This window comes from Homo sapiens, chromosome 9 (genome assembly GCF_000001405.40).
Source record: "Homo sapiens chromosome 9, GRCh38.p14 Primary Assembly".
NCBI classification, from domain to species: Eukaryota; Metazoa; Chordata; class Mammalia; order Primates; family Hominidae; genus Homo; species Homo sapiens.
The window spans coordinates 95,153,064-95,173,671 of record NC_000009.12 but is presented as its reverse complement, the minus strand read 5'-3'; the positions used below and the strand labels follow the sequence as shown (position 1 = coordinate 95,173,671).

The following is a 20,608-nucleotide window of genomic DNA, read 5'->3' as shown; positions in this document are numbered from 1 at the left end:
AGTGCTGTGATTATAGGTGTGAGCCACCGTGCCTGGCCCCTTTGTAAACATTTTAGTGGCTTACAGTGAGCCACTATATAAGCATATTAATCATTCTCTGCTGTTAGACAATTTTTACTATATGAGAAATAACCACTATAGTGAACATCTTCGAGCATAGTTCCTGTCATCATATTTGCATTTATTTCCTTAAATGTATGCCACATATATCAAAGGTTCTGAATATTTTGAAGACATTTAATATATTTTTTTCAAGTTGCTTTCTATAAGGCAGGGCCTCTGTTAGCCCGTAATCGGTCTTTGTTCAGGTGACAAACCTCTAGGCAGACACACCCCTGGAAGTCCAAGCTTCATGATGGGTTCCGGGCTGTGTTGCCTCTGCTCACACTTTGGGCGCCTCGGTGCCATTCACAACTGCACTCTGTATGGAAGACCCTATTTCTATTCCTCCAGGAGCTCACACAGAGTACATGTTTCATAGAACCCCATACAGCTTAGCTATTCATGTCTGTAAAAAACTTGAATTCATTAAGTGAAAGTGCCATACAGGTGTTTTACCCTACCCTTTTTGATTATGGAGGATGAACATTCATTTATGTGTTTCTTAGCTATTTGTATTTTATGAATTATCTATTCATATTCATTGTTATGCTCTTAGTGTTTGTCGTATATTTTGTACATTAATTTGATAATATAGAATCTGTACTGTTTGTTGTTAACATTCTTCTTAGTTTGTGCTCATATTATTTTTCTGGTAAACACAAGATTTTATTTTTATTGAGCACAGCCAAGCCTCTTCCCTGATGATTTACTCCCAGGATTTTCAGTTCTCAGAGTTCTTTCTCATTCAGATACTTGAAAAATGTTCATGTTTTCTTCTTGTGTATTATTTCATTTTTACATTTATCTCTTTGATTTACATTAAACTGGAGTATATTTTGATGAATAATACCCGGTGAGAATCTTTTTTTCTTTTTACAGATAGTTTTTGAGGCACCATTTATTACATAATCTGTCCTTTCCCTACTGATTTGTGATGTGTTCTCTATCTTATATTAAATTCTAATATCTGGATCCTTTTGTAGTTCATGAGCGTGATGATTGGGTGTTTCACGCATGTGTGTGCAATGTGCCACCCTTGAACCTTGTATGACATCGGCACGTTACCCATCTGACCTCAAAAAAAAAGCAAAGAAAAATTATCATCTCTGTTAAACATATTTTACTGAGTTTAAAAACAATAAAGATTCCATTCTTAATATAGGTAAAGCACTGCTCATTGATGATATATATTTTTGTTTCACTGCTAATGTTTGTTTAAATTGACTTCTTTTTAATGTGTTAACTTTAATGCTAACATTTCTCTTTTACACTTTGAATCAAAGTAAATTGGGTACTTTGACAAACAGATTTTTTTGTTTCATAGAGACCACCCCCATGTACAAATAAATTGTAGGCATTGTACATAAAAGGCACTTGCATTTACTTTTAAAGAAGTTAACTTTTTCTGTTTATGTTTTTTAGGGTGTATTATCTCATATACTTTCAGCACTCAGATTTGATAAAGAAGTTGCTCTTTTCACTCAAGGTCTTGGGTATGCACCTATAGATTACTATCCTGGTTTGCTTAAAAATGTGAGTATTTAAAATTTATCACTTTTGAAATGTTTAATGCTGAATGTGCCATCAGCAAAAAGAGTAAATGGAAATATTTCAGTCCTCCAGAAGAGATGTTTAACTTTTCTTTGTTTATCTCTTCTTACCTTGGGCAGACTTATGGCCATGTACGGAAGAAATGTGAGATGGGAAGTTATGAGAAAGAAGGAAACCAGGAAGGGTTTTCCTAAACCAACCAATCAGCCTCTCTTTCTAGGGACACATCTCACTTATTCACTCAGAGATGTTTGGGAGAAGAGCTGTTCTTAGCTATTATAAACACAGTCTTGTACTGTTGAAAGAATCTTGTATTTCAAATAACCTGATTGGAATTTTCTGTTAAAGCAAAACAGAAAATTCAGTACATAGTTTTAAATATTTACCTCTTAATATTAAAGCATTGTTTTCTTCTGGCTTAAATTATAGCCAAATGTGAGAAATTTTAACTTACAAACTTGATGTAACTCTTCTAAAAAATGTTATGAGATTTTTTAATGTTTGTTAACCATTCCGGTGTTTTGGAAGCTTTGTACAATAACAACTTTTTTTTTTTTTTCAAATGAACTGAATTTTAAATGAAGAAGTAAACTAACTTTTCTTTAAATGGATTTGGTTTTAATTCTTAGGAAATTAATGACCTGTCTATTGTTCATTGCTTAAATAGGAATGCAGAATTATAGACATTAAACATAAAATCCCAATTATTAGTAAATGTGACATGGCACTGCTTCCTTTTCACTCTGACAGAGTGAAACATGAGAAGATGGGGGTTGGGGGAATCTCAACGGAAATATCACTCACACCAAGAAAAATAGAACTGATGTAATCCTGTTTGCAGCGTGAGTTAACCTGCAACTGATTTTGTTTTACAGATGGTTTTATCATTAGCGTCTGAACTCAGAGAGAATCATCTTAATGGATTTAACACTCAAAGGCGGTAGGTGTTAAACTAAACATCCTTCTTCTCAGGTTTCAAAATGTATCAGTTTGGTTATGAGAGGAAAATTTTACAATTCATAGGAAATGGATGTTCAGTTATGGTTGTATTTTATATAGAAAGATTATTTTAGTGGAATACATAGCAAATTGGTGAGTTTTTTCAAACTCTTTTAAAAATCACTATTTTCTCAACTCTCACAGAGCAGTAAGTAAATCATACAATGTCTTTTGTGGGCCCATTAGGTAGAAAGCCCTACATACACAGTAGGGAGCATAAAAGAAAGAGCAGTACTTAGTTTTACCCTGGGATTGCTCACTCTGCAAGAGGAGAATGTGCACAGATGCAAGTGTATGCTCTCACACTAGCCTGCCCTGGCTCTGCCTTCTTCTGCTCCCAACACACACACACACACACACACACACACACACACACACACACGATATTTACAAGGCAACATTTGATGTGAACATATGCCCTATTTTAAGAAACATGATATTCCAAAATCTAGACTAAACAAATCAAAGAGATTCAGACAAATTAAAAGGCAATTAATCACATTACAAATGTTTCTTCACTCTGTAAAAGAATCTCAGTTTTCATTGGTGGGCATTTCATTTTTGACATATCATTAACCAAGAGAATCTGGGACTGAGGGACTTGGTGATTTTTTTTTTTTTTTGTAAAGCTATTGCTAATTCAAGCTCTATCAGAAATTGTCTTTGTCCTCAACCTTTAGGAATCCTTTGCACCTAACCCTTAAACTATATAATTATTAGAGGAAAACATTGGAGATAATCTTCATTATGTTGGATTTGGCAATGTAAGAAGAACCATAGGAGACATGGAGAGTGTTTAGATTTATTTATTTACATGTCAGGTAAAGACTTGGATTTGGTTGTGAGGTGAATGTTGACTGATGGATCTTTTGAATTATGTAATTATAAATTTATTCAAAAAGACCTTAAAAATCAGTCAGTGCAGTGTGTATGTACTCCCTACACCAAACTCCCAAAATATGCATCACAGTTGATTTTTTAAAAAGCAGCTGACAATAAACAAAATAATTTTTAAAATCTGTTAACAAATAGAAACAAAGGATCAGAATGCAAAATATAGAAATGACTTGCAAAAATAAATCATAAAGAGGCAAACACTCCGTTATAGAAATGAGCAAGGAATATAAGCAGGTCATTACTAGAAGATGAAAACTGAATTAATAATAACATTAAAGGCGTTCTTCAGGAATGACATCAGCAAGATGGCAGAATAGGAAGTCCTAGACCTTATTTTCCAGTAGAGACATTGACTTAACTACAGCATACATCCCAAAAAATTATAGTGAGAACTACAGAACCAATTAAGAAGTCACAGTACTGCAGGCAAGCTCAAAGTCTAGAATAGCCACATTGAAATTGATTAAACAATCTGTTTCATGTCAACTGTGATAGCCCTTTTCCAGGTCTGGCAGCTTGGTGAGATTGGTAGGAAAAACCCAGCTTGTGGCTTCTCTTCCTTGGGAGGGAAAAAGAAGAGTGGAATGTGCATCCAACATTCTCACTTTTTAGGAAGCAGACTGAGGAACTGATTTCTGTCTCTACTGACCGGGAGCACTGATGAGGAAATCGCATACAGTAATCCCTCCTTATCTATAGGGAATATATTTCAAGACACCCAGTGGATGTCTGAAACTGTGGATAGTACCAAACCTGATTGCCACCAATCATAACACATTTCTGTATTCCACTCACAACTTTAATGTCTTTTCCATCGTAACTAAGCACTTATCATATATGATGGCTGTAATTTTTGCCATGTGAGATGCAACGACAAAACTAACAGAAATTTTTTTCCTTCTTTACAATTTCACAGATAGATGATTTGTTTTTACTATAGATCTCAGCAACCTCAGCATATGATTTTTTTCTTTCCTTATTAAGTTGAAAACTTTCACCTTTTCACTTAAAGAAAGCACTTTACAACTTCTCTGTGGCATATCCAAATTGCCAGCCCCAGTGCTCTTGGACTTTGAGGTCATTATTAAGTATTAATAAAATAAGAGTTACTTGAACACAAGCACAGTGATACTGTGACAGTTGATCTGACAACCAGTATGGCTACTAAGTGACTAACGAGCAGGTAGTGTATATATTATGGATACCCTGGGTAAAGGGATGATTCATGTTCCAGATGGGACAGAGTGGGACAGCATGAGATTTCATCATGCTACTCAGAACAGTACACAATTTAGGCCAGGTGCGGTGGCACATGCCTTTAATCCCAGCACTTTGGGAGGCTGAAGTAGGTAGATCACCCGATTTCAGGAGTTCAAGACGAGCCTGGCCAACATGTCAAAACCGCATCTCTACTAAAAGTACAAATTAGCTGGGCGTGGTGGCTTATGCCTGTAGTCCCAGCTACTCGGGAGGCTGAGGCAGGAGAATCACATGAACCTGGGAGGTGGAGGTTGCAGTGAGCTGATATTGCATCACTGCACTCCAGCCTGGGCAACAGAGCAAGGTGCCATCTCGAACAAAACAGTGCACAATTTAAAACCTTTGAATTATTTCTGGAATTTTTTCATTTAATATTTTTGGACCACGGGTGACCATGGCTAGCTCAAACTACAAAAAGTAAAACTGCAGATAAAGGAAGACTACTTTTGATGCCTTGGGGCCATGGAGAACAAAAGAAAGCTTAGTGGTTTGTGGTAGCACCAGAGAATTGACAGTGCTGCCGATGGAGGCTGGCATAGCTCAACAGAATTGGGAGGAAGCACTTAGCTCATGACCTGTTCTTTGGGAGGGGAAGAGAAGCCTCTGGCTTCTCAGGGGCCTACTAGAGGGACTGGTATCTGTCTTGCCTGACTCACAGCACTGACAGAGAAATGGCGTAGTTTGGAACAAGAGAGCTCAGCAGCTTGTTGCAGCACTGGAGAATCTGCAATACCACAAACGGACACTAGAGGGGAGGGGAAGATTAGGAGCTCTTGAAAAACCAGTAAAGCCCTCTAATTTGGAAATCACACGCATAAGCCCAGAGAAGATATATCCCTGGAAAAGGTTTGAGGGACCTCCAGAATGTCTAGCCGGGTCCACTGGTGAAAGCCTTCCTTTGTACCATGTTAGTCGATAAAGACTGAGAGAAGTAGATGTTTCTTTAAATGTACAAAATACAACAAAAATAACAAGACACAAAGTAAACCAGGGAAACGTGGCATAATCAAGGGATGAAAATAAATCTACAGAAACAGACCCTAAAGAAGCAGAGATCTATGCATTACCTGACTAAGTATTTGAAATAATTGCCTTAAGGGATCTCAAGGCACTACAAGAGAACACAGATAAACAACTAAATGAAATCAGGAAAACAATATGTGAGCAAAATGAGAATATCAACAAAGAGATGGAAACTAGAAAAGAACCAAACAGATATTCTGGAGCTAAAGAACCACAATAAGTGAATTGAAAAACTTACTAGAGGGGTTCAGCAGTAGACTTGATCAAACAGAAGAAAGGGTCAGAAAACTTAAACACAAATCATTTGAAATTATTAAGTCAGAGAAACAAAAAGAAAAAAGAATGAAGGAAAGTCAAGAAAGCCTAAGACACTTGTGGAACAACATCAAATGGAACAATACACACATTTTGTGAGTCCTAGAATAAGAGAGAAAGGGGCAGAGAACTTATTTGAAGAAATAATGGTGAAAACTTCCCAAATATTAGGAAGGAATTGGATATCCTAATTTCAGAAGCTCAGCAGACTCCAAAGAATGAACCCAAAGAGGCCTACAACAACATACACAAAAATCGGATTGTCAGAAGTTAAAGACATAATCTTGAAAGCAGCAAGAAAAAAGTGACTTGTCATGTACAAGGAAGGTTCCAGAAGATTATCAGTGGATTTCTCAGCAGAAATATTACAGGCCAGAAAGGAGTGGGATGATACATTCAAAGAGCCAGGGAGGAAACAAAACAAAACAAAAAACCCTTCCAATCAAGAATACTGCATCTGGGCTAAATCATCCTTCAAAAAATGAAGAAAAAAAGACATTCCCAGATAAACAAAAGCTGAAGGAGTTCATCACCATTAGACCTGCCTTACAAGAATTGCTAAAGGGAGTCCTTCAAGTTGAAATGAAAGAATATTAGCAACATGAAAGCATGCAAAAATATAAAGCCTTCTGGTAAATGTAAATATACAGACAAACACAAAATCTTATAATACCGTGTTGTATAGTACAGTTGTCCCTCAGTATCCAGAGAGGATTGGTTCCAGGACTTCCCACACATACCAAAATCTATAGATGCTCCAGTCCCATAGTAAACTGTATGGAACTTACAGATACAAACGTTCAATCTTTGGGTTCTACATCCTGCAAATACTATATTTTTGATCCATGATTTAGTTGAATCCATGGATACAGAACCCATAGATATAGAGGGCTGAGTGTACATAAATCACTTTTTAATTCTGGTATAGAACTTAAAAGATAAAAGTGTAAAAATAACTATTAAACTGTGTTGATAGATACAAAATAGAAAAGGATGTAATTTGTGATATTGATAACATAAACTGGGGAGGGAAATGTAAATGAGTAGAGTTTTAGTATGTGATTGAAGTTATCTCGTTAGGTTGTTATAACTCTAAGATGTTTAATGTAATGCCCATGGTAACAACAAGAAAATACCTGTAGGAGATGTACAATGGAAAATGAGAAGGAAAGCATGTCACTATGAAAAAAATCAATGAAACCCAAAGGAAGGGAATAAGAGAAAATCGTGAACAGAATAACTACTAGGTATATGGAAAACAACAAAATGGCAATAGTAAGTCCTTCTCTATCAGTAATTACTTTAGGTGAACATGAATTAAACACCCCATTCAAAAGATGTGGAATAGCAAAATAGATCAGAAAACAAGATCCAACTATATTCTAGCTACAAGAGACTCACTTGAGATACATAGGCTGAAAATGAAAAGATGGAAAAATGGCAACCAAAATAGAGCAGGCATAGCCATACTTATATCAAACTATCAAAAGAGACAAAGAAAAAGATTATATAATAATAAGAGTGTCAATTCAGGGAGATACAACAATTACAATAATATATGCACTTAACACAGCATCCAAATATATGAAGCAGATACCAATAGAATTGAAGGGAGAAAGAGACAGTAACACAATAATAATAGATTTCACCACCCCACTTTTAATAACATATTGATTAACCAGACTGAAGACCAATAAAAAAATAGAACTTGAATAATGCTGTGGACCAATTGGACCTAATAGGCATATAGAGAACATTCTACCCAATAACAGCAGAATATACACTCTTCTCAAGCACATATAGAACATTCTGTAGGAAAGACCACATGTTAGGCCACAGAACAAGTCTTAACAAATTTAAGAAGACTGAAATCATAGTAACTATTTTTTCTGACCACAAGGGAATAGAAATCAGTAACAAAAAGAAAATTGGAAAATTCACAAATATGTGGAAATTAACCCACTCTTAAACAACCAGTGAGTCAAAGAACAAATTACAAGAAACACAGACAATAACTTGAGACAAATGAAAATGAAAACCCAACATATCACAACCTATGGGATGCAGCAAAAGCAGTTCTAAGCAGGAAGTTTATAGTGGTAAATGCCTACATTAAAAAAGAAGAAAGTGTACATGCTTTTGAAGGAAGAAAAAAAAAGAAAATAAGAAGGATCTCAAATCAGAAACCTAACTTTACACCTCAAGCAACTAGAAAAAGAACAAACTAAACCTAAAGTTAAAAGGGAGAGACTAATAAAGATTAGAACAGAAATAAATAAAATAGAGAATAGAAGAAAAAACTAAGAGTTGGGTTTTTGTAAAGATCAGCAAAATTGACAATTCCTTAGACTAAGAAAAAAAAAGAGAAGACTTAATAGCAAAAATCAGGAATAAAGAATAGAAATTAAAACTGATGCCACAAAAATTAAAAAGATTGAGACTACTATGAACAATTATATACCAACAAATTGAATAACCTAGAATAAATAAATGTCTAAAAATATACAGCCTACACGACTGAATAATGAAGAAATAAAAACATCTGAACAGACCTACAACTAGTAAAGAGATTGAATTGGTTATTCAGAACCTTCCAACAAAGAAAAAAACCAGGACCAGATGGCTTCACTGGAGAATTCTATCAGACATTTAAAGAAGAATTAACACCAGTCTTTCTTAAAGTCTTCCAAAATATTGAAGAAGAGGGGACATTTCCAAACTCATTTTGTGAGCAAGCATTACCCTGACACGAAAATCAGGCAATGAAACTACATGAAAACAGATTAATATCCTTCGTGAATCATGATGGAAGGATTCTCAGCAAAAAGGGAATTCAACAATACGTTAAAAAGATATGTATAAACACCATGACTGAATGAAAATTATTCCTTGAATACAAGGATGGCTCAACATACAAAAATCACTATATTGCACCACATTAATAAAATGATGAACAAAAACCACATGGATCATCTTAATGCAGAAATGGCATATGACAAAACTCAATACTCACTTATGGTAAAACCTTAAACAAATTAGGAATAGAAGGAAATGACCTCAATGTAGTAAAGTAGTAAAGGCCATATTTGAAAAATCCATAGCTAACATCATACTCAGTGGTGAAAAAGGGAATGTTTTCCCGCTGAGATCAGGAACAAGGCAAGAATATCTTCATCCTCTCTTACCACTTGTATTTAATATAGTATCAGAAGTCCTTGTCAGAGGAATTGGGCAAGAAAAAGAAATAAAGGTCAACAGATGCTCCAAATTCTTTCCATCCAAATTGGAAAGGAAGGAATAAAATTGTCTCTGTTCACAGATGACATGATTTTATATGTTAATAATCCTAAAAGATTTCACACAAAAAAATTGTTAGAACTAATAAACTAATTCAACAAAGTTGCAGTATACAAAATCAACACACAAAACCAGTTGCATTGCTATACATTAATAAGAACAACCCAAAAAGGAAGTTTAAAAACAATCCTGCTTACAATAGCACCAAAAAGAATAAAATATTTAGGAATAAGCAACTAAGGAGGTGAAAGATTTGCACAGTGAAAGCTATACATTGCTAAAAGAAATTAAATAAGACATAAATAAATAAAAAGATATCCCATGTTCATAGATGGGTATGGTTTTTTTGGGGTTTGTTTGTTTGTTTATTTTTGTTTTGAGATGGAGTTTCGCTCTTGTTGCCCAGGCTGGCATGCGATGGCGCAATCTCGGCTCACTTTAACCTCCTCCTCCTGGATTCAAGCGATTCTCCTGCCTCAGCCTCCCGAGTAGCTGGGATTACAGGTGCACGCCACCATGCCCAGATGATTTTGTATTTTTAGTAGAGATGGGCTTTCTCCGTGTTGGTCATGCTGGTCTCGAACTCCTGACCTCAGGTGATCCACTTGCCTTGGCCTCCCAAAGTTCTGGGATTACAGGTGTAAGCCACTGCACCCAGCCTATGCTTAGTATTTTAAATGCCCGTACTACCCAAAGCAATCTTCAGGTTCCAGTGTTATTTCTATCAAAATGTCAGTGGCGTTTGGTTTTTCTTTTATTTTTTACAGAAATAGAAAAAGAATCCTTTAATGTATATAGAATCTCAAAGTACCCCAAGTAACCAAAACAATTTTGAGAAAGAAAAACAAGGTGGAAGCCTCATACTTCCTTTTTTCAAAGCATATTACAAAGCCACAGTAATCAAAACAGTGTGGTACTGGCATAAAGGCAGACATATTGACCATTAAAACAGAATAGAGAGCCCAGAAGTAAGGCTTCACATGGAAGATCAAATGGTCTTTGACAAGGGTATCCTGTCTATAAGATTGGGAAAAGATTGTCTCTTCAATAATTGGTGTTGGGAAAACTGGATATACACATTGAGAAAACAAATTTGAACCCTTACCTTTCATTATATATAAAAACTAACTCAAAATAGATGAAAGACCTAAACGTAAGACCTGAAACTGTAGGAGAAAAGTGTCATGGCATTGGACTTCGCAATGATCTTGGATATGACACCAAAAGCACAGGCAAGAAAAGCAAGAATAGACAAATAGGACTGCATGAAATTTTTAAGTGTCTGTGCAACAAAGGAAGCAATCAACAGATTAAAAAGCAGCCTATGTAATGGGAGAAAATATTTTCAAACCTTAAATCTGGATAAGTGATTAATATCCAGAATATACAGAGAATTCCTGCAACTCAACAACAGCAAAATAATCCAGTTTAAAAATAGGTCAAAGACTTGAATAGACATTTCTCCAAAGAATATATACAAATGACCAACAAGCATATGAAAAGATGCCCAACATCACCAGTTATCAGGGACATGATAATCAGAACCATAATAAGATACCAGTTCACACCTATTAGAATGGCCACTATCAAAAGAAGAAAGAGAAAATGACAAATATTGATGAGGATGTGGAGTACTTGGAACCCTTGTACACTGTTGCTAGGAATGTTAAACTAGTGCAGTCACTATGGAAAACAGTATGGAGTTTCCTTAAAAAATTAAAAATAGAATTACCAAATGATCCAGCAATCCCATATTTGTGTATATTTCCAAATAATTGGGAACAAAATCTCTAAGAGATATTTGCACACCCATGTTCATTGAGCATTATTTACAAGAGCCAAGAGGTGGAAGTAACCTATGTGTCCATCAGCGGACGAATGAATAAAGAAAATATGGTATATATACACATTGGAAGATTATTCCACCTTAGAAAAGAAGGAAGTCCTGTCATATGCTACAGTGTGGATGAAACTTAAGGACATTATGCAAAGTGAAGTAAACTAGTGACAGAAGGCAAATACTGCATGATTACTTACACTTATGTGTGGTATCTAAATTAGTCAAACTTGTAGAAACAGAAGCTAAGGGCAGGTGCAGTGGCTCACACCTGTAATCCCAGCACATTGGGAGGCCAAGGCAGGCGGATCACCGGAGGTCAGGAGTTTGAGACCAGCCTGGCCAACACGGCGAAACTCCATCTCTACTAAAAATACAAAAATTAGATGGGTGTGGTGGCGGGTGCCTGTAATCCTGGCTACCCAGGAGGCTGAGGCAGGAGAATCGCTTGAACCTGGGAAGCGGAGGTTGCAGTGAGCTGAGATCGTGCCATTGCACTCCAGCCTGGGTGACAGAGCAAGATTATGTCTCAAAAAAAAAAAAAAAAAGAAAAGAAAAGAAGCAGAAAGTAGAATAGTGGTTACCTTGGGATGGGAGGAAGAGGGAAATGGGAGTTGTTGTTCAATGGGTATAGAGTTTTGGTTTTGCAAGATATGAAAGTTTTAGAGATCTGTTGCATATAAGGACATATAGTTAACACTACTGTACTGTATAGTTAAAAATGGTTAAAATGGTAAATTGTATGTTAATGTGTTTTTCACCACAATTTAAAACTGGTCTATGAGCTTTTCTGTGCATTTTCAGGAAAGTGTAAACTAACAACATCAGTTAGACATCCATTAGGTTATGGTGAGCTTTAGGAGGTTGCTGATGGGAACATAAATAGGCACAACCACTTTGCAGAACAATTTGGTCTTCCTGGAATTTGGGATTCCTTGTTAGTCTCTCGATGAGTGCTCTGTTTACTGTAGCCTCCAATAATTATGGGAAGATCAAGAGGTAGTGTTGATTGAGGTTGCCAGTAAATTGTATTCTGGGCCTTAGAGGACTCCCATATTTCCTGGAGGTTGATAGCCATTTCGGGCTGGCTTCTCCTTCCAGGCCTCCTTCCTCCTTCCTCCTTCCTGTTGGAGTCAGGACATTTCTGTTATCTCTTGCCTAAAGACAGTGGATAAGAAGAAAGAGTGTATAATGTATAAGGCCTTGGCAGCTGGCTGTCAGGTTGCCCCCTGTTCCTTGAATTCATCCCCAAAGTAACTCTTATCTTTTATAGTAGTCCTCTCTTGGCAAGCTTTTAGGGCTGTGGTATTTTCCTTCAAAAAGATCCCACCTACCTACCATCAAGCTTTTCTCAGAATTCATGGGTCACCAAAAGCCCCCATTTTACAGTATTATATATTTAATTGTAAAAACTCTTCCATCATTGACATGATTGTATATTTAGAAAACCCCATTGTCTCAGCCCAAAATCTCTTTAAGCTGATAAGCAACTTCAGCAAAGTCTCAGGATACAAAATCAGTGTGCAAAAATCACAAGCATTCCTATACACCAATAACAGACAAACAGAGAGCCAAATCATGAGTGAACTCCCACTCACAATTGCTACAAAGAGAATAAAATACCTAGGAATACAACTTACAAAGGATGTGAAGGACCTCTTCAAGGAGAACTACAAACCACTGCTCAAGGAAATAAAAGAAGACACAAACAAACGGAAGAACATTCCATGCTCATGGATAGGAAGAATCAATATCATCAAAATGGCCATACTGCCCAAGGTAATTTATAGATTCAATGCCATCCCCATCAAGCTACCAATGACTTTCTTCACAGAATTGGAAAAAACTACTTTGAAGTTCATGTGGAACCAAAAAAGAGCCCACATTGCCAAGACAATCCTAAGCAAAAAGAACAAAGCTGGAGGCATCATGCTACCTGACTTCAAACTGTACTACAAGTCTGTAGTAACCAAAACAGCATGGTACTGGTACCAAAACAGAGATATAGACCAATGGAACAGAACAGAGGCCTCAGAAATAACACCACACATCTACAGCCATCCAATCTTTGACAAACCTGACAAAAGCAAGAAATGGGGAAAGGATTCCCTATTTAATAAATGGTGCTGGGAAAACTGGCTAGCCATATGTAGAAAGCTGAAACTGGATCCCTTCCTTACACCTTATATAAAAATTAATTCAAGATGGATTAAAGACTTAAATGTTAGACCTAAAACCATAAAAATCCTAGAAGAAAATCTAGGCAATACCATTCAGGACCTAGTCATGGACAAGGACTTCATGACTAAAACACCAAAAGCAATGGCAGCAAAAGCCAAAATAGACAAATGGGATCTAATTAAACTAAAGAGCTTCTGCACAGCAAAAGAAACTACCATCAGAGTGAACAGGCAACCTACAGAATGGGAGAAAATTTTTGCAATCTAGCCATCTGACAAAGGGCTAATATCCAGAATCTACAAAGAACTTAAACAAATTTACAAGAAGAAAACAAACAACCCCATCAAAAATTGGGCAAAAAATATGAACAGACACTCTCAAGACATTTATGCAGCCAACAGACACATGGAAAAATGCTCATCATCACTGGTCATGAGAGAAATGCAAATCAAAACCACAATGAGATACCATCTCACACCAGTTAGAATGGCGATCATTAAAAAGTCAGGAAACAACAGGTGCTGGAGAGGATGTGGAGAAATAGGAATGCTTTTGCACTGTTGATGGGAGTGTAAACTAGTTCAACCATTGTGGAAGACAGTGTGGCGATTCCTCAAGCATCTAGAACTAGAAATACCATTTGATCCAGCTATCCCATTACTGGGTATATACCCAAAGGATTATAAATCATGCTTCTATAAAGATACATGCACACGTATGTTTATTGCGGCACTATTCACAATAGCAAAGACTTGGAATGAACCTAAATGTCCATCAATGATAGACTGGATTAAGAAAATGTGGCACAAATACACCATGGAATGCTATGCAGCCATAAAAAAGGATGAGTTCATGTCCTTTGCATGGACATGGATGTAGCTGGAAACCATCATTCTGAGCAAACTCTCACAAGGACAGAAAACCAAACACCACATGTTCTCACTCACAGGTAGGAATTGAACAATGAGAACACTTGGACACAGGGTGGGGAACATCACACCCTGGGGCTTGTTGTGGAGTGGGGGGCAAGGGGAGGGATAGCATTAGGAGAAATACCCAATGTAAATGATGAGGTAATGGGTGCAGCAAACCAACATGGCACGTGTATACCTATGTAACAAACCTGCACGTTGTGCATGTGTACCCTAGAACTTGAAGTATAATTAAAAAAAAAAAGGTCAAAAAAAATTCTTCCATCATTTCTAGCAGTTGGGAGTATAGCATGAATGCTAGGACATCCGTGTCCTTAGTTCATTGCTTGATGCAGTCTCTTAGGTTACATTTTCATCTTATTTTCTCTTGACTAGATTAAGAGAGTCACCATTCTTCATAGGTCTTGCCTTTGAGTCCTCAGGATGTGTAGCAGTTCTACACCAGAGCTACTCAAAGTGTGGCCCTACCAATCAGCAGCATCAACATCCCTCGGGCAGAGACCAAGAAATATGACTTTTTAAAAACATCTGTCCAGACATACTCTCTGGAAGTTCAAGAAATGCTGCTCTACACTACTTCTTTAGAAGCAGTTCCCATAACTGCATATCAATCCCTGGTAACAATCTGAATACTTTATGGTGACATGATAGAATTTTATTTACGGTTTTTATTTTTGTTGATGAATTCCTATAAATTGTTAATATTTTTGCTGTATTCTTGATAATAGTAAATTCTCATAAAGATAATTTTTTGCCAAGCTACCCATAGTGATCTATTATGTGTGAACAGTTTGTCTTTTCTCCTCAAATATTCACCTTTTCTAAATTGTTCTTCCTGTTCTCTACCGCTTCTTAAGTGGCAGATATCCTTTCAACATTTACCTTCCATAGTGCTTTATCATCGTTCTCTTACCACCAAGATGGTTTTAGATCTAAAATTAATTAATATGCTTTTTGAGTCTATCATCTAAGTTGTTAACAAAAAGACACATTTAGCATGAGTTGTAAATATCTTAAATTTTTGGAATATATGAGCTTAGTGGGTGGGCTGGTAGAGGAAGAGGTATGTGGGGGTGTGTGTGAAGGTGTATACTTTGCACATAGCCTAGCAGAATATATTGCATAGAGTTAGGGCGGGATGGATGTTTGTGCAATTGAAAGGTAGGCCGGAGAGTTGCCTGTGTGCATCACTCATGTAGCGTCTCAAATAGGCAGGCAGGTCTCCAGCCTGACTCATCAATCTTCCTCCCTAAAAGATCTCTAAGCGCAACTTTTCTCTCATCTGAAAAGAGGAAATGAGAAGAGTCAGAGATTATTACTGGGGACTGAGTGGGTGGAAAGACTGTGGTTCTGGGGACATTTATCAAGTATTGCAGTTCATGGCTGCAGATTATATCTTCTGTTTAGGCTGGAAATGATCCAGGATAATTTTCCTGAAAAATTTAAAAAATCTCATAAAGACAGGTAGTTCTTGGGTATACCAAAATTTGGGCAGGCCAACTGATAACCTTCCCAAGAACTTCAAGGTGCACGCAGCCTTCATGGCTCCTCTTTTGGTCTGAAGTTTGTCAGAGTGTGGAGATCCAAGTTCAAGTGGAGAGTTACGCAACACTTTCCAGATTGAATTACACTAAGCATTAGGTCTTGACTGGTTGCCAGAGCAGCACTTCCAAATAATTTCTGCACAAGAATTCAACTGCAGAAGGCTAGACGGTAACCATGTACTGCTGGGAACATCCTTTCTGTGTGGTTGTATTGTAGCTTCCAAACCATCTGCCCCAAACCATAGAGCTACAGGATAAGCTGACGATGCTCAGAATGTTGCTCCTTCTAGATGGTTTGTAGCAAAGAATAGGATAGAATTTAAACATTCTGTCACTGAATTGTTGACTTTACTTGGTGGCAAGTGAAACTCTATTTAAAGCCCTATGACAACACCATTTATCAGGCCTCTAAAAATAATGCAAAAAGAAAGTAAGCTAATTTTCCCACTTTTTTTGTTCCTCTGGCGATCTGTGCATCTGAAATTATGAGATCAATTTCTATATTTTCTGAGACTTTTTGAATCTTTGGAAATGAACTTTAGACACTGAAGTGCTAAAAAATTAGAAAAAATAAATGCATAGATGCCTTCTAGAAGGAAAAAAAAACACAGGAAAACAGCATAGCATTGTTTATATGGTGCTTAAGTTTGGGAGCTCTTGGCTGCTTCGACATTTGAAGTCATACTTGTGAAAGGAGAGGAATTAGAAACTTAGATTCATAGGTGGATGGGACTCTCCTGACTTTAAGCATATACTGGAAAGTAGTTTGCCTGTTATGCTGTGTTCTGATTTAATTGTTTCAATTTGTAAATCTTAAAAGTGGACAGAGAACTTCAGATATGTAGTAGAAAGTTATGTGGTATTATGATACCTATTTTAATTGTTATTATTAATGACAGCAAAAATTATGATGGCTGCAGCGTGGTTGACAGCTGTTTTGCAAAGGTTATCATGGTGTCAGAGATGTTACCTGATTTCATTAAACCGGCTTCTACTTGAGATAGAAGAATACACTTGGCAGAATTTATAATTCACTGGAGAACTGTGGACTTGAAAAGTTTTGTTCTCACACAAGCTTTTAAGAATCCAAGTTAAAATTTTATGAATGGTGATCACAAAAGCTTCTAAAAGGGCTCAAAAAGCATGTTACGCATCAAATTGCTTTTTAAATTCAATCTTCTGATAGGTATAAATGAACTCAGTCCAAGAGATTGAATTATCTTAAAAACTATATATAAGGGCTCAACACATTCAGAAAAGTACCTGGACAAATTTATCTGGTTGAATTATAAAATTCTTTAAAGAAAAGATTCTAAACATCATTCAGTAGAGCAAATTAGGAATGTATCGGATGTGTTGGTTTACAGGGAGCACTCTGCTAGCACAGGCATCTCATATTCTTAGTAAATTCAGTTAAGAATTTTACTGATTGTATCATAGCTTTGCTTTGACTAGGAATATCCTGAACTGCTAACTAAATTAATTCCAATTTTATCCTTGCTACTCCTGCCAGCTGGGATGCCAGCATGGACATCCTTCAGTGGACTTCGCTCTGTGCCAGGGAATTTGTTCATATTACTTTTGAAAAACAAGCATTCTTAACAACAACAACAACACCAAAAACCAATTATAAACTAGAGAATAAACCTCTTCCAAAGTGGCACAATCTGGCACAAAGGCAAATTTTTAATCTATAAAAGTTGTTTCAGCCTTGGCACAGTGGCTCACTCCTGTAATCCCAGCAATTTGGGAGGCCAGGGTGGGAGGATTGCTTGAACCCAGGAGTTTGAGACCAGCCTGGGCAACATGGAGAAACCCCATATCTACAAAAAAAAAAAAAACCCAAAAAAAGCCAGATGTGGTGGCAAGCACCTGTAATCCCAGCTACTAGGGAGGCTGAGGTGGGAGCATCGCTTGAGCCTGGGGAGGTTGAGGTTGCAGTGAGCCAAGACTGCACCACTGCACTCTAGCCTGGGTGACAGAGCAAGACCCTGTCTCAAAAAGAAAGAAAGAGAAAAGAAGATTGTTTCAGCTGATACCATCCAGCAGAGTCTTTTAATTGTGGTCCAGGAGACTTTAAAAACCTCTGTGAACTGCTTGTCTTCTGTCCAAGGGTGAGAAAATGAAAAGCACAAATAATTCTATAGAAATACCCTGAAAAGAGACCAGTAGAATCAAATAATGGGAAGAGTGCAAAAAAAGATGTAAATAAAGGGGAAAAAATACTCCAGAGGGAAATAAATACTAAGCAATTTAAGACTGATTAAGGATGATTAGTTTTTAATGAGCTACTTTTGCTGTTTTGGAAATAAGAACCTGAGGCAGGAAGTAACTCCTTTATTACGAATATTTTCTTTTTCCTCCCTCCCTCCCTCCCTCCCTCCCTCCCTTCCTCCCTTCCTTCCTCCCCTCCCCTCCCCTCCCCTCCTCTCCCCTTCCGTCCCCTTCCTTCCCCTCCCCTTTCCTCCCCTCCCCTCCCCTCCCCTCCCCTCTCTCTTTTCTCTCGCTCTCTCTTTCCTTTCTTTTTTTGACAGGGTCTCACTTTGTTGCCCAGGCCAGAGTGCAGTGGCATGATCTCAGCTCACCCCAACCTCCACCTCCTGGACTCAAGCCATCCTCCCACCTCAGCCTCCCGAGTGGCTGGGACTACAGGCGTGTGCCACCACACCCAGCTAATTTTTGTATTTTTTTGTAGAGGCAGGGTTTCACCATGTTGCCCAGGCTTATCTCAAACTCCTGGGCTGAAGCAGTCCACCCACCTTAACCTCCCAAAGTTCTGGGATTGCAGACATAAGCTACCACACCTAGCATGAATATTTTCATTTTCAGTATTTTACTAGTTAACATTGTATTTTAGTTTTTTAAAAGTTTTATTATAAAACACTTATGTCATGGAAAAACTGTGTGCCTGTTGCCCAGGTTTTATAGTGCTAACATTTTATTTATATTTGATATTTTTAAGAAAAAGTTTCAATTAGAGCTGAAGCATCCTTCTCCTATTCCATTTCTTTATTCTCCCCGCTGGAGCAAGCACGCCCAAGAAGTGGGGTGTAGATTCTTCCTGCCATGTTTTAACACTTTTACTTCACATTTCGCTGTGCTTTAAAACTTTACATAAGGATGGTGTATTGTGGATATCTTTATGCAACTTGCTTTCTTCATTCATTCAACTTTTGAGATTTATGTATGCAGATAATGTAGGTACAGTTTATTCATTTAAACTGCCATATAGCATTCCATTCTGTAAATAAATAATCATTTATTCATTTCTGTACAAATTCACAGCAAGATTGAATCTACCTTTTACAAACAGTCCTGTTTGTCTCCCTAACCTGTAAGAAGAAATGGTAGCACGTTGCTACCAGTTGTTCTCCAAAGTGTTTGTGCTTATTTATTTATGTTCCTATCAGAAACATCCTGGAGTTCTCTTTTCTCTGTAATCTGATGGATTTCCCACTACAATTTTTTTTTTTTTTTTTTTTTTTTTTGAGACGGAGTCTTGCTCTGTCACCCTGGCTGGAATGCAGTGGCGTGATGTCAGCTCACTGCAATCTCCACCTCCTGGATTCAAGCAATTCTCCTGTCTCAGCCTCCTGAGTAGCTGGGACTACAGGTGCCCACCACCATGCCTGGCTAATTTTTGTATTTTTAGTAGAGATGGGGTTTCACCATATTGATCAGGCTGGTCTCGTACTCCTGACCTCAGGTGATCTGCCCTCCTCGGCCTCCCAAAGTGCTGGGATTACAGGCATGAGCCACCACACCCAGCCCTCCCACTACAAATTTGATGTTATAGTTTGTATTGAACAACAAACAACACATTGAAGTACTAAAGAATTAATTAGGGTTGAAAGTAATTTCTGGACATCAGAAAATGGGGATAGGAATGCCCTTTCAAAAGCTACTATTTTGATTAACTTTGAATAACTATTTGACCATTTCAAGTAGTTACATCAAAGAAATAAACAGACAACCAACAGAGTGGGAGAAAATATTGCAAACTATGCATCTGACAAAGGACTAGTATTCAGAATCTACAAGGAACTCAAATCAAGAAAAAAGCAATCCCATCAAACAGTGGGCAAAGGATATGATAGATATTTCTCAAAAGAAGATGTACAAATGGCCAAGCATATGAAAAAATGCTCAACATCACGAATCATCAGGGAAATGCAAATTAAAACCACAATGAGATACCACCTTACTCCTGCAAGAATGGCCTTTTAGATGTTGGCATGGATGTGGGGAAAAGAGAACACTTATACCTGCTGGTGGGAATATAAATTAGTGCAACCTCTATGGAAAACAGTATGGAGATTCCTCAAAAAGCTAAAAGTAGATCTATTTGATCCAGCAATTACACTACTGGCTATCTACCCAAAGGAAAAGATGTCTTTATATAAAAAAAAAACCACTTGCATATGTATTTTTATAGCATCACAGTTAACAATTGCAAAGATGTGGAACCAACATAAGTGCCCATCCACCAATCAGTGGATAAAGAAAATATGGTATATATACACTACTCAGCCATTAAAAGGAACAAAATAATATTTGCAGCAACTTGAATGGAGCTGGAGGCCATTATTTTAAGTGAAGTAACACAGGAGTGGAAAATCACAAACTGTTATGTTCTCACTTATTAGTGGGAGCTAAGCTATGAGTACACA

The 20,608-nt window shown here is 37.2% G+C and overlaps 1 protein-coding gene and 1 non-coding gene across 22 annotated transcripts in view; both read left to right on the top strand.

The window, feature by feature from the left end:
- The window catches only part of FANCC (FA complementation group C), a 218,656-nt gene that overhangs the window by 144,038 nt on the left and 54,010 nt on the right, over positions 1–20,608 (top strand). For all 21 annotated transcript variants that reach the window (XM_006717001.4, NM_000136.3, XM_047422951.1 and 18 more), the window contains 2 exons: positions 1,525–1,635; positions 2,529–2,593. In XM_006717001.4, coding sequence (XP_006717064.1) covers positions 1,525–1,635; positions 2,529–2,593 — 176 coding nt within the window. The remainder of the gene's footprint in view (positions 1–1,524; positions 1,636–2,528; positions 2,594–20,608) is intronic.
- LOC124902339 (small nucleolar RNA U13) lies at positions 1,074–1,177 on the top strand. The gene has a single exon (XR_007061915.1). It is a non-coding gene; the product is annotated as a small nucleolar RNA U13 (small nucleolar RNA).